The following is a 13,867-nucleotide window of genomic DNA, read 5'->3' as shown; positions in this document are numbered from 1 at the left end:
CAGTAAAGTGTCTGTTCAAGTCTTTTTGTCTATTTTTTAATTGGGTTGTTTCTTCTTATTGTTGAGTTTTGAGAGTTTAAAAAAACATTCTGAAAATAGTTCTTTTGTCAGATGCATGATTTGAAAATATTTTCTTCAAGCCTCTAACTTGCCTTTTTATACTCTTAAGAGAGAATTATTGTGACATAACTCAAATACCATACATTTCACCCATTTAAAGTGTACAACGTAATGTATTTTACTGTATTCACAGAGTTGTGCAATCATCACATAATCAATTTCGGGACATTTTCAGCACCCTCAAAAGAAACTCCCCAATCCTAAAATGTTTTAATCTTGATGAAGTATAATATATTAATTTTTTCTTTTATGTATCATGTTTCTGGTGTTGTATCTAAAACTTATTTGCCTAACCCAAGATAAAAATTTTCTCTTTTCTAAATGTTTTACAGTTGTACACTTTACTTTTAGATTTATGATACATTTTGAGTTAGTTCTGGTATAAGATACAGAGTTTAGGTGAAGGTTCCCTTTTTTCATATGGTTGACAAAATTAATTCAATCCAATGATTGACAAATTAAACAATTTAATCCAATTAAGACTAATTTGTTCAATAGACTCTCCTCTCTTAATTGAATTACTTTTGCAGTTTTGTAAAAAGTCAACTGGCCCTATTTGTGTGGGACTATTCTTGGCCTCTCTATCCCATTCCATTAGTTTATGTGTTTTTCCCATTTGCCAGTACTACACTGTCTTGATTACTGGAGCTTTATAATAGGTGTTAAAACTGGGTACTGTGAGTCTTTCAACTTTGTTCTTTTTCAATATTGCTTTGGCCATTCCAGTTCTTTGGTATTTCCATAAAATTTTTAAAACTTGTTTGTTAATACTGAAAAAGGATTTCTGAGCTTTTGATTGAATTTGCATTAAATCTATAGACCAATTTGAAAATCTTGTTGACATCTTAACTCTTGAATCTTTCAAACTGCAAAGTATGCCTTTCTGTTTCTTTAAGTTTTCTTTATTTTTTCATCAGTAGTTTGTGGTCCTCAGCATATAGATCCTGCATATGTTTTGTTAGATTTATATGTAAGTATTTCATTTTTGAGTTCTTGTTAATGGTATTGCTTTATTAAATTTCAGTTTCCAATTATTCATTATGAGTATCTAAAAATATCACTGATTTTTAAAACGTTGAATTATAATCACAACCTTGCTAAACTCATTAGCTCTAGATTCCTTGGGTAGATTCTTTGGAATTTTCTACATAGACAGATAATCATTTTGTCTGTGATACGGTTAGTATTATTTCTTCCTTTCCAATCCAAATACCTTTTATTGTTGAGTAGGAGCTGTGAGAGTGTCTTTTTGTTTTGTTCTAGATCTTAGCAGGAAAGCAGTCAGTCTTTTGTCATTAAGTGTGATATTGGCTTTTGCCATGATCTCGGCTTGTAGCAGGACGAGCCACAGACAAAACTCCTCAGACACTGAGTTAAAGAAGGAAGAGGTTTATTTGGCCGGGGGCATCGCAAGACTCCTGTCTCAAGAGCTGAGCTCCCCAAGTGAGCAATTCCTGTCCCTTTTGAGGGCTCACAGCTCTAAGGGGGTGCGTGTGAGAGGGTCGTGATTGATTGAGCAAGCAGGGGGTATGTCACTGGGGGCTGCATGCACCAGTAATTAGATCAGAACCAAACAGGATAGGGATTTTCACGGTGCATTTCTATACAATGTCTGTAATCTGTAGATAACATAACCGATTAGGTCAGGGGTCTATCTTTAACTAGGAGGACCAGGGTGTGGCCCCAGGCTGTCTGCTTGTGGATTTCATTTCTGCCTTTTAGTTTTTACTTTTTCTTTCTTTGGAGGCAGAAATTGGGCATAAGACAATATGAACGGTGGTCTCCTCCGTTAGGCTCACTGCAATCTCCACCTTCTGGGTTCAAGCAATTCTCCTGCCTCAGCCTCCCGAGTAGCTGGGATTACAGGCGCCCGCCACCACACCCGGCTAATTTTGTTGTTGTTTTTTTTTTGAGATGGTGTCTTGCTCCATCACCAGGCTGGGGTGTAGTGGCGCAATTTCGGCTCACTGTAACCTCCGCCGCCCAGGTTCAAGCGATTCCTCTGCCTCAGCCTCCCGAGTAGCTGGGACTACAGGTGCGAGCCATCACGCCTGGCTAATTTTTTGTATTTCAGTAGAGACGGGGTTTCACCATGTTGGCCAGAATGGTCTCCATCTCCTGACCTCATGATCCGTCTGCCTCAGCCTCTCAAAGTGCTGGGACTGCAGGCGTAAGCCATCATGCCTGGCTGTGATATTGGCTTTTAAAAAAAATTTTGGTAAATGCCCTTTGTCAGGTTAATTTTCCTTCTATCCCGACTTTACTAAGAGTTTTTATCATAAAAGAATGTCAAATTATTTTCTGCATTAACGGATATAGTTATGTGGCTTTTCTTCTTTAGTCTTTCATATGGTAGGCTACATTGATTTTCGAGCGTTAAAACCATCCTTGCATCCTTGAAATAAACCCTACATGCTTGTGGAGCATTATTCTTTTTTTTTTTTTTTTTTTTTTTTTTTTTGAGAGGGAGTCTCGCTCTCTTGCCCAGGATGGAGTTCAGTGGCGTGATCTTGGCTCACTGCAAGCTCCGCCTCCCGGCTTCTTGCCATTCTCCTGCCTCAGCCTCCGAAGTAGCTGGGACTACAGGCGCAGGCTGCCACACCCGACTAATGTTTTTGTATTTTTAGTAGAGACAGGGTTTCCCCGTGTTAGCCAGGATGGTCTCGATCATGGAGTATTCTTCTTTTTATGTATTGCTGGAATCAATTTGCAAATATTTTGCTGAGATTTCCTACATCTATGTTAATGATGGATTTGGTCTCTAGTTTTCTTCTCTTGTAATACCTATGCTTTTGGTATCAAAATAAGACTGGCCCCATAAAATATTTCCTATTTTCTATTTTCTGGAAGTGATTGTATAAAATCTATGCTATTTTTCTTTAAATACTTGGTAGAATTCACCAGTGAAACCATTTAATCTTGGAATTTTTTTTCAAATGTTCTTAAAAAAACTATAATTCAATTTTGTTAATAAAGAACTATGCCTGTTATGTGTTTTTTTCCTTGGGTAAGTTTTGTAGATTGTAGCTTTCAAGTAATTTGTTCATTTCATCTAAGTTATTGGATCTATATGTGTAGAGTTGTTGGGCGTATTCCTTTATTTTCCTCTTCATGTCCATAAGGTCTGTATTAATGTCTCCTTTCTCATTCCTGATATTGGTACATTATATTTTCTCTCTGTTTTACCTGGTCAGTCTGGCTAAAGACTAATCAATTTTATTTATATTTTCAAAGGACTGGCTTTTGTTTTCATTCATTTTCTCTATTGTCTTTCAGTTCTTAATTTAATCAATTTCTTCTCATCCTTAGTATTTCCTTACTTCTCCTTGCTTTGGGTTTACAATTACCTTGTTTGTTTTAGTTTGTTAAGGTGAAACCCTAGATTGTTGATTCAAAAATTTCTTCTTTTCTAATAGAAAAGCAGCTATAGCATTTTATGCTATAATTTTCCCTCTAAGCACTGCTGTAACTGCATCTCACACATTTTTAATATATAATGTTTTCATTTTCCTCCATTTTAAAATATTTTCCAGTTTCCCGTGAGACTTCCTATTTGATGCGTGGATAATTTAGAAGTGCTTTAACTTCTTAGTATTTGGAAATTTCCCACTTGTTAATATATCCCTGTTGTTTACTTCCAGTTTAATTCCATTATGAATAGGGACAAATTGTTGCATGATTTTAATTTTTATATTTGTTAATGTTTGTTTTATGACTCTGGATGTGGTATATCTTTATGAACCTTTAATGCACACCTGGAAAAACTGCAGAATCTGTTGGGTGGAATGATATTACAGTGTTAATTAGATCTAGTAGTTTCATGATGTTAAGTTATTCTATATTTTTGCTGATTTTCTGTCTTTTTTGCTTTATCAATAACTGAGAAAGGAGTGTTAAAGTCTCCAAGTTTATTTCTATATTTCACTATTCTTTCAGTTCTGTCAGTTAATACAACTGAGTTTCTTGAATCTGTAAGTTGTTTCATATATTTTGAAGCTCTGTTGCTTTGTGCATACACATTTAGGATTAATATTTGTTTTTGAATAATCAATCATTTTATTATTATAATGTCCCTTTTTATCCCTTTTCCTTGCTCTTAAGTCTACTTTGTCTGATATTAATTAGTATAGTAATTCCAGCTTTGTTTTGATTAGTGATTACATGGCATATTTCTTTTGTTCTTTTACTCTTGATCTACTTGTATCATTATATTTTCACTGACATTTGAGAATTATGTTGACAGCACATAGCTGTGTGTTGTTCTTTCATTTTTTATCCATTTTCAGAATCACTGTCTTTTAATTGATGTGTTGAGATAACTTATATTTAAATAATTATTGGTATGTTTTTATTTAGATCAACCACATTATTACTTGTTTTCTCTTTTTTCCCTCCGTATTTCTTCATCTATTCCCCTTTCTTGCCTTATTTTGATTTCTTTGAACATTTTTTCATATTTTAATTTTTTGAGTTTTTTACTTATCTCTTTGTATATATTTTCTTTTCAGTGGTTTCTTTACAGATTATAATATACATACTTAACTTTTTACAGTCTGTTTTGAATTACTATCCAACCACTTAAAGTGGATTATAGAAAGCTTGTATGGTTTCCTTTACCTGCCCCTTATATTGTATTTTCTCCATGTTTTGCACCAATTGCTAAAGAAAACCCCATTAAACAATGTTTTAATTTTTTTTTAATTATCACACATATTTTAAAGAATTCACAAGGAAAAAGCCTAATTTATTATACTGAATTAGGTATTTATCACATCTGCTACTCTTCATTCTTGAAGTTCCAAGTTTTCCTCTGGTGTCATTTGCCTTCTGTTTGAAGAATTTCTTTTATGGCAGGTCTAATGACAATGAATTTTCTTTGTTTTTTTTTTCATCTGAGAATGTCTTTATTTCACCTGTATTCTTGAAATATATTTTTGCTGGTTACAGAATTCTGAACTGACAATGATTTTCTTTCAGTAGTTTAAAATGTTCCACTGCCTTCTGACCTGGATTTCTGAGGAGAAATCCAGTCATTGTAGCCATTTTTTTCCTACATGTAATGTGTTATTTTCCTCTGGCTGTTTTTTCCCCTTTGTTCTTAGTTTTCATCTGTTTGTGTCTGGGTATGAATTGCTTTGGGTTCATCTTCCTTATGGTATGCTCAGTGCTATGGTTTGGCTCTGTGTCCCCACCCCAATCTCATGTCAAATTGCAATTCCCAGTGTTGGAGGAGGAGCTTGGTGGGAGGTGATTGGATCATGAGGGTGTTTTCTAATGTCTTAGCACCGTCCGCTTAGTGCTGTCTCATGACAGAGTTCTCACAAGATCTGGTTGATTTAAAGTGTGTAGCACCTCCCACTTTGTTCTCGCTCTCCCCTGCCAGCCATGTGACCATGTACCCACTTCGCCTTTGCCTTCCACCACAATTGTAAGTTTCCAGAGGCCTCCCCAGAAGCAGAAGCCAATATAGCCTGCAGAACCATGAGCAGATTAAGCCTTTTTTCTTTATAAATTACCCAGTCTCGGGTATGTCTTTATAGCAGTGTGAAAATGAACTAATACAACTGAGTTTCTTGAATCTGTAAGTTTAAGTATTTCACTAAGTTTTGAAAGCTTTCAGCCATTATTCCTTTCAATACTTTTATAAACCACACTCTTTTTCCTTTCCTTTTAGGACTCTGATGACTCAAATTTAGAGTTTGTTGTTCTTGTTGTTGTCCTTCAGATCCCTACGACACTGTTCTTTTTTTTTTTTTTTTTTTGTGAGTCTGAGTCTCACTCTGTCACCCAGGCTGGAGTGCAGTGGTGGGATCTCAGCTCACTGCAACCTCTGCCTCCCAGGTTCAAGCTATTCTCCTGCCTCAGCCTACTGAGTAGCTGGGACTACAGGTGTGCGCCACCACACCTAGCTAATTTTTATATTTTTTGTAGAGGTGGGGTTCCACCATGTTGGCCAGGCTGGTCTCAAACTCCTGACCTCAAGTGATCCACCTGCCTTGGCCTCCCAGAGTGCTGGGATTACAGGTGTGAGCCACTGTGCCCAGCCATTTTTTAAAATAATTTTTTTCTTTGTTGTTCAGATTGAATAATTTCTATTGATCTACCTTCAAGTTGACTGACTCTTTCCTCCCATTTTTGTTCTACTATTGAGGACTACCCATACATTTTTTGTTTTGGTTGTTGTATATTTCAGTTCTAAAGTTTGCATTTGGTTCTTCTTTTATATCATGGCTCTCTCTGCTTAGACTTTGTATCTTTCCAATCATTTCAAGACTGTTCTTTCTTATTTATTGGCGCATTGTTGTAATAGCTGCTCTAAAATCTTTGGTAATTTTAATATATGTGTCTTCTTGTGATTGATGTCTTTTGGTTATGTTTATCCTTATGAATTGTTGAGATTCTTCTGGTTCTTCATTTGGGACATTTTGAATATTGTATTGAGACTCTGATCTTAATTGATTCTTATGGAGAAAGTTGATTTGTTTGTTTGTTTCAGCAGGCAATGAACTTGGTTAGGACCCATGTCTCACCTGCCTTTAGTGGGCTGTGGTTTTAATATCAGTTCAGTTTTCCAAGTTTTTACAGTGATATTCAGACATGTCCTCAACTGTCTACCTCCCAGTGACCGATCTGGGAACCAGGTGGTTGCCTAGTTCACAGTTCAGTTCTTGAAACTTTTGGTATGCTGTCTAGAGTCAGACCAATGCATTTATATTCCTGGAATAAGCCAACATGCTCATACATAACTTTAGGGGTTTGCTTTCTCGAATTTTCTCTTTACCATGATCTCTGTGACATGTTCTGGCCTCCAGGGATTGCTTCTCCTGGTATTCCGTCTAGAAACTGAAAATTTAGCTTCCCAACTCTGTAGCATACTTCTGACTGCATCTTTCCTCCAAAGCCAAGCAGTGGGAGAATAGACACAGACAAAAAACAATTCAAATTTTCTCTATGCTCTTCGGACTATAGTCCCTCTGGTCAGAGAGAAGGGTTCTACTCCCTCAGAATTTTAGGTGCCTCTTCAGTTGCTGCTGCTGTTACTATCACTGTCACCACCATGGGGTTTCCTGGAGGGTTGGGTGGGAGATAAAATAAATGACTAAAAATAAAGGGGAATGTCTCCCACTCTCTCTGAGTCTTATGGGCTCCCTTTCCCATCCTCAGGTCAGAAGGAGACAGCTTCTCTTGGAGCTTGCTTCGGTTTGGGTGTTTGTCACCTCCAAATCTCATGTTGAAATCTGATCCCCAATGCTGGAGGTGGGCCTAATGGGAGGTGATTGAGTCATGGGAGTGGTTCCCTCATGAATATATTAATGCCTTCCCTTGGGCATTTATTAGTTCCTGCATGAGCTGGTTGTTAAAAAGAACATGACATCTTCCCACCCCACTTCCCTGATCTCTTACCATGTACTCTCTGCACATGGTAGCTCCCCTTCACCTTCTTCTTTTTTTTTTTTTTTGAGGCAGAGTCTCACTCTGTCTCCCAGGCTGGAGTGCAGTGGCGCAATCTCTGCTCACTGCAACCTCCGCCTCCCAGGTTCGTGGGGCTTGAAGCCAAGTGTTTGGTTTTTGTTCTTCCTGAAGCTTGCACAGCTTTAGACCTCGTCTGCTAACAGCACTTGTCTGTTAGGAGATGATTCTGCCTCCTTTCTTTTCCTCCTACTCAGTGCAGAGCTTGCAGGGTCCCCAGCAGCCAGGCAGTTATTTGGGTGTTAAGTAGCCTTATGCTATTTTTAGCTCTTAGAGGATTGCAAGTGCTTTATACACAACTCTTTACTTCTTGTTTGCTTTATCTTTTCATTTTTGTTGTTGCTGTTTTTTGTTTTTGTTTTTGTTTTGAGACAGAGTCTCGTTCTGTTGCCCAGGCTGGAGTGCAGTGGTGTTATCTCAACTCACTGCAAGCTCCTCCTCCCAGGTTCAAGCAGTTCTTGTGCTCCTGGAGAGCTGTGATTACAGGCGCATACCACCATGCCTGGCTAATTTTTTATTTTTTTATTTTTTGTATTTTTAGTAGAGACGGGGTTTTGCCATGCTAGCCAGGCTGGTCCTGAACTCCTGGCCTCAAGTGATATGCCCGCCTCAGCCTCCCAAAGTGCTAGGATTACTGGCATGAGCCACTGCACCCAGCCTGTTTGCTTTATCTTTTCTAAAGCTCAAAACAAATAGGAAAGAGCTTCACTTGCTCCCTCCAGGCAGCTACTGAATGAGAGTCTCCGCAGAGCCAGCACTTAGTTGACACCAGCCCAGCTCCAGGCTGCACGTGACTTGGAGGAGGATCCGAGACATGCCTCTTCTTCCTCCATCATGGGAGGCAGCGTTAGCCACAATGTCTCACCTTCAGCCCACGACCTTCCAACAGATACATGCCAAGTTTCCTGTCCTGCTTCCTGTCATTGCTGCCTAGGAAACAACTCTCCAAAGAAGGAACCACCACTAGTTTGACTTGCTCTTCTCCAAGCTCCTCTTACACATCTCAGAAGGGGTCACTGAGCTAGTGGCTGTTTTCTTACACTCTTCATATGTACAGCACTGCTGATCTGGTCTCTGTTACTCTTTACATTTGAAAATGTCTTAACATTCTATTATGCACTCCGTTAAGACTTTTTATTTTTTGAGACAGAGTTTTGCTCTGTCACCCAGCCTGGAGTGCAGGGACATGCTCATAGCTCACTGCAGCCTCCAACTCCTGGGCTCAATAGGTCCTCCCACCTCAGCCTCCCAAGTAGCTGGTACTACAGGTGTGCACCACCATGCTCAGCTAATTTTTTATTTTATTATTACTTTCTATAGAGATGGGGTCTTGCTATGTTGCCCACGCTGGTCTCGAACTCCTGGTCTAAAGTGATCCTCCTGTCTTGGCTCCCCAAAGCACTGGGATTACAGGTGTAAGATGTATAGATGATACAAATAGATGACTATTTAATAGTCATCTGCATGCCATATTTTTTGAGGTGGAGTTTCAAAGCCTTGGAAGCAGTCCTACATTCATGAGTCCTTTGGAACCAGCTCAGGTCAAATGGCTCCTTCTGTGTGTACCCAGCCTTCCTTTCTGGGCCCAAGCAGGGACCTGACTTTGGGTCACACCTGGCTCTCCCATATGGAATAAATGCAAGCTCTCTCCCTTACACTGCTCCATTCCAGTTCTTGGCCTGCCTAACTCATATATCAGCTGCAAACAGGCCAAGGAGAAGAGGAGAGGACCTGGAAGCAGTTAACATGTGGTTTATTTGCGGGTCAACTCTAGCTTATTGCTCTTATGACAGCATGTAATTGTAACGAGACCTGGTGCTGTTGCTCCCAATTACTGCTTACATCCTGAATCTTGGTGTGTCTGGACTGTGTTTTCGGGTTGGGTTATCAGCGCTGCAGTTAGCCTGATTATTTGGTAATCTTGGTATATGCCTCTTGAGCCCAAGCTCTGGCTTTGTATCTCGATGCTTCCTCAGAGGGTTTTCCTTATAATAACTGTAATAATGGCAGTTACTCTTTACCAAGTATGTGCTGACTGAGAACTATTTTAGACCATTTTACATGCATTAGCCTATGTGTTTCTCCCAGTAACTCTGAAAGATAAACTGCCGAGGGTCAGAGAGGTTAAGGAACTAGCCCAAGCTCACATAGCACAGCTAGTTCAACGACAGACTTGAAAATAATACTCAAATCTGCTTGACTCCAAAGTGTGTGCTGCTTCATTTCCTCTGCACCAGACTTGCGACCTTCTGCTCAGAAGGGCCTGGAGAGTATGCTGAGTTCTGGGTATTTCCATGGCTGGAGATTTCACAAGCTCATGCCTGACCCATGTGGCCTGGAGAATTTCCTTGGGTTGGGTTTCTGGTTTGCTCCTGCCTTCCCTGTGAGGCAGCAGCAGTTCCGCCCGAGCCGCTTCCCTCTTCAGTATTCACTGTTCAGCTCCTGTCAATCCCACTGCATAAGTACAAATTCAACTTGTCCACCCCTCACTGAGAAAGCCAGGTACACCCCCATGGAGAAAATTGCATGGATGTATTTGGAATTAACTCAATTGATGATGTATAAAAATACTTAAAGACATTTGGGAAACTGGGGCTGGAGTTTTGTTCAAACTGGCAGTAGCAGGTCGGATAGGACAAGATGTAGAGTGCAGATTTTCTATTAAAAATATAGGGGAGAAGTGACTTCGTTGAAGCCTTGGTAGCAGCAGGTTGCCATGGTAACACAGGCACACTGATCTGAATTAGAAAGAAATTACTATAGGGTCGAACTACACCAGAGGGAAAAAAGAGCTTGTGTGTGAAGGGGATGGCAGGGAGGAGAAGGGGGGGAAGTACTGGGCTGGGAAGGAGAGGAGAAAGAGGAAGTTGTCTCCAGAACAGGAAGAGCAAGGATGGGGACCATATTGAGGCAAGGAGTGATCTCTCTAGGGTTTTCTCTTCTTTTTTAGAAATTTCTATAACTAAAAGTAAAAAAGGCAGAAACAGGACTGGCAGGTGAGGTTGTTCCCCATCTCATAAATGAGGACTGCTTTAGTGTGCCAAGCATGTAGTGTGCCAGGCATGTAGTGTGCCAGGCATGTCTCCAATCCTCCCCCAAGTCACTTGCAGCCTGGAGCTGGGCTGGTGTCAACTAAGTGCTGGCTGACAGCTCTGCAGAGACTCTCATTCGGTAGCTGCCTGGGGGGAGCAGGTGAAGCTCCTTCCTATTTGTTTTGAGCTTTAGAAAAGATAAAACAAACAGGCCAGGCGCAGTGGCTCACACCTGTAATCCCAGCACTTTGGGAGGCCAAGGGGCGGGAGGGCGGGGGACAATCACTTGAGGCCAAGAGTTTAAGACCAGCTTGGCTAACACGGTGAATGGTGAAACCTTGTCTCTATTAAAAATACAAAAATAAAAAAAAAATTAGCCAGGCATGGTGGTGTGCACCTGTAATCCCAGCTCCCTGGGAGGCTGAGGCACAAGAATTGCTTGAACCTGGGAGGTGGAGGTTTCAGTGAGCCGAGATCGTGCCACTGCATTCCAGCCTGGGCAACAGAGCAAGACTCTGTCTCAAAAAAAAAAAAAAAAAAAAAAAAAGAAAGGAAGAAAGGAAACCAACAACAACAACAACAAAAAACCAACAACAACAAAAAAAGAAAAGATAAAGTAAACAAGAAGTAAAGAGATATGTATAAAGCACTTGCAATCCTCTAAGAGCTAAAAATAGCATAAGGCCACTTAACACCCAAATAACTGCCTGGCTGCGGGGACCCTGAAGCTCTGGACTGAGTAGGAGGAAAAGAAAGGAGGCAGAATCATCTCCTAACAGACAAGTGCTGTTAGCAGATGAGGTCTAAAGCTGTGCAAGCTTCAGGAAAAACAAAACCCAAACACTTGGCTTCAAGCCTCATATCTGCTATTACTAGCTATGTGACCCTGGGAAAGTTACTTAACTTCTTGGTGCTCCAGTTTCCTCAACTGTAAAGAAGAAATAATAATTGTTCCTGTCCCATGAGGTTGCTGGGAGGATTAAAAAAGATAAAGTGTTTACAATGATTAGCACACAGTAAGCACTCAATACCCAATAACTGTTATTACTCTAATCCATATGGTGAGCCACACTCAGGCCCTAGGCCATCAGGCAGATTGTCACCATAGCTGTGGAGGGCAACAGGTATCACTGTCTTTTGTTCTTCAGCCTCAAGGTTTGAAGTATTGACATTGTCAGAGCATGTGGTTCTCAGGACCCAGCTGCACAGACAGTGTTGTTACCTCTGAAGGAATTAGATGATTATATCATTAAGGACTCATTTTTTTCACTTGTTTTCCTAATGAGCAGTGTAATCTGGTTAAGAAAATAGGAACTTATAGCTTTGGGAAAATATGTATGAATTTTCACCAGCGGAAGAGATCAAAGAACAACATGATCAATTTGTTCAGGAAATGAACCCTGGAACATGGGACTTGGCACAAAGAAGTCCTCCGGCTAACCTCTTTTCTTGTTGAATTTAATCCAGGGATGGTCAGATGTGTTCTGATGCTTGTCTCCTTCTAGACCTAGAGCCCCTGAGAACCAGGGTCATGGCTTGTTCATTTCCTTGTTCTTAGTCCCCAGCACAACACCAGGCACATGGTAGGTGTTCAATAAACATTTGATCAATGGATGAAAGAATGATAAAACGAGTAACAGCTCACTGCCACAGGCTGCCTATCTCTTCCCAAAGTCAACCCCTTCCTGCCACTCCAGCAGCTGAATCCACAACTTACCTGTTAGTGCACAGGTAAGTTGTTGTGTAAGATAAGGGATTTTTTTTTTTTTTTTTTTTTTTTTGAGATGGAGTCTTGCTCTGTCACCCAGGCTGGAGTGCAGTGATGCGATCTCAGCTCACTGCAATCTCTGCCTCCCAGGTTCAAGCGATTCTCCTGCCTCAGCCTCCTGAGTAGCTGGGATTACAGGCACGTGCCACCACACCTGGCTAATTTTTTTTTTTTTTTTTTTTTGCATTTTTAGAAGAGACGGGGTTTCACCATGTTGGTCAGGCTAGTCTTGAACTCCTGACCTCTAGGCTTTAAGCATGGGAAGGCTAGGCCTCTCATCCTTCAAACCTCAGTTTCCAGCTTTCTGTATTTCAGTTGTTATCATCAAAAGCAAATATTTATTGAGAACTTGATCCCATGTGCAAGGCTGGATTCTGAGGATTCAGGTAAAGTAACTCAGCTCCTGAAGGGGCTAAGAATCTTATATCTGTTAGCTTTGGCTGCATAACAAGCCATCCCCTAAAGTACTGACATATAAAAACAAACATTTCTTATTTTGCTTACAATTCCATGGATTGGTTGGAATGGCTTTTCCGATCAGGCCAGCTTAGCAGGGGCTGGATGATTTAGGTTGGCTTTGCTCACACATTTGGTAGTTGGCCAGCTGTTTGGTGGTCTCAGGGGTTTCTAACACACCAATGGCCAAAACAGGTCATATTCCGATTCAAGCTCAGATTCAACGAGTGAAGACCTCTTGAGGATAGAAATGGCAAAGGGGCATACATACATACAGGCATGGGAGAAATTACTGTGGCCGTTTTGCAAACTATCTACCCCAGGTCTCTTTGGGACAACACGGGTAATGCATAAAAACATAAATAACTATATGAAATAGCACCAGATACATGCCAGAAAAGCTTTACAGCTGAAGTCAGACTTGAGTTGAACAGGAGAGATAGCCTGAGATTGGATGGAGGCAGGGGAATGTTTCAATTTGAAAGAATACTGCAGATGTGGAAATGCATTTGATGTGTTCAGGGGGCCTACGAATGTATGGCTTTGACCATGGTAGAGAGCTCACTTAGGGGGAAAAGGGGAACTGAGGACAATAAAGCAGTTGAAAGCCAAATTAGGCGAAGTCTTGATGGAAGGAATTTGAGCTTAATTCTCTAGGCAGTAGGGAGCAGTGTAGGGTTTTTTCGGTTCGTTTTTTGTTTTTGTTTCTTTTTGGAGAACAGGGTCTCACTCCTGTTGCCCAGGCTGGAGCACAGTGGGGGGATGTCAGCTCACTGCAGCCTTGACTTCCCGGGCTCAGGTGATCCTCCCACCTCAGCCTCCCGAGTAGCTGGGACTACAGTCATGCGCCACCATGCCCGGCTAATATTTGTATTTTTAATAGAGACAGGATTTTGCCATGTTGCCCAGGCTGGTCTCAAATGCCTGAGCTCAAGAGAAATGCTGCCTCAGCCTCCCAAAGTGCTAGGATTACAGATGTGAGCCACTGTGCCTAGCTACAGTGTGGGTTTTTGATCCAGGG

This window comes from Homo sapiens, chromosome 18, assembly GCF_000001405.40.
Source record: "Homo sapiens chromosome 18, GRCh38.p14 Primary Assembly".
NCBI classification, from domain to species: Eukaryota; Metazoa; Chordata; class Mammalia; order Primates; family Hominidae; genus Homo; species Homo sapiens.
This window is presented reverse-complemented; position numbering follows the sequence as displayed.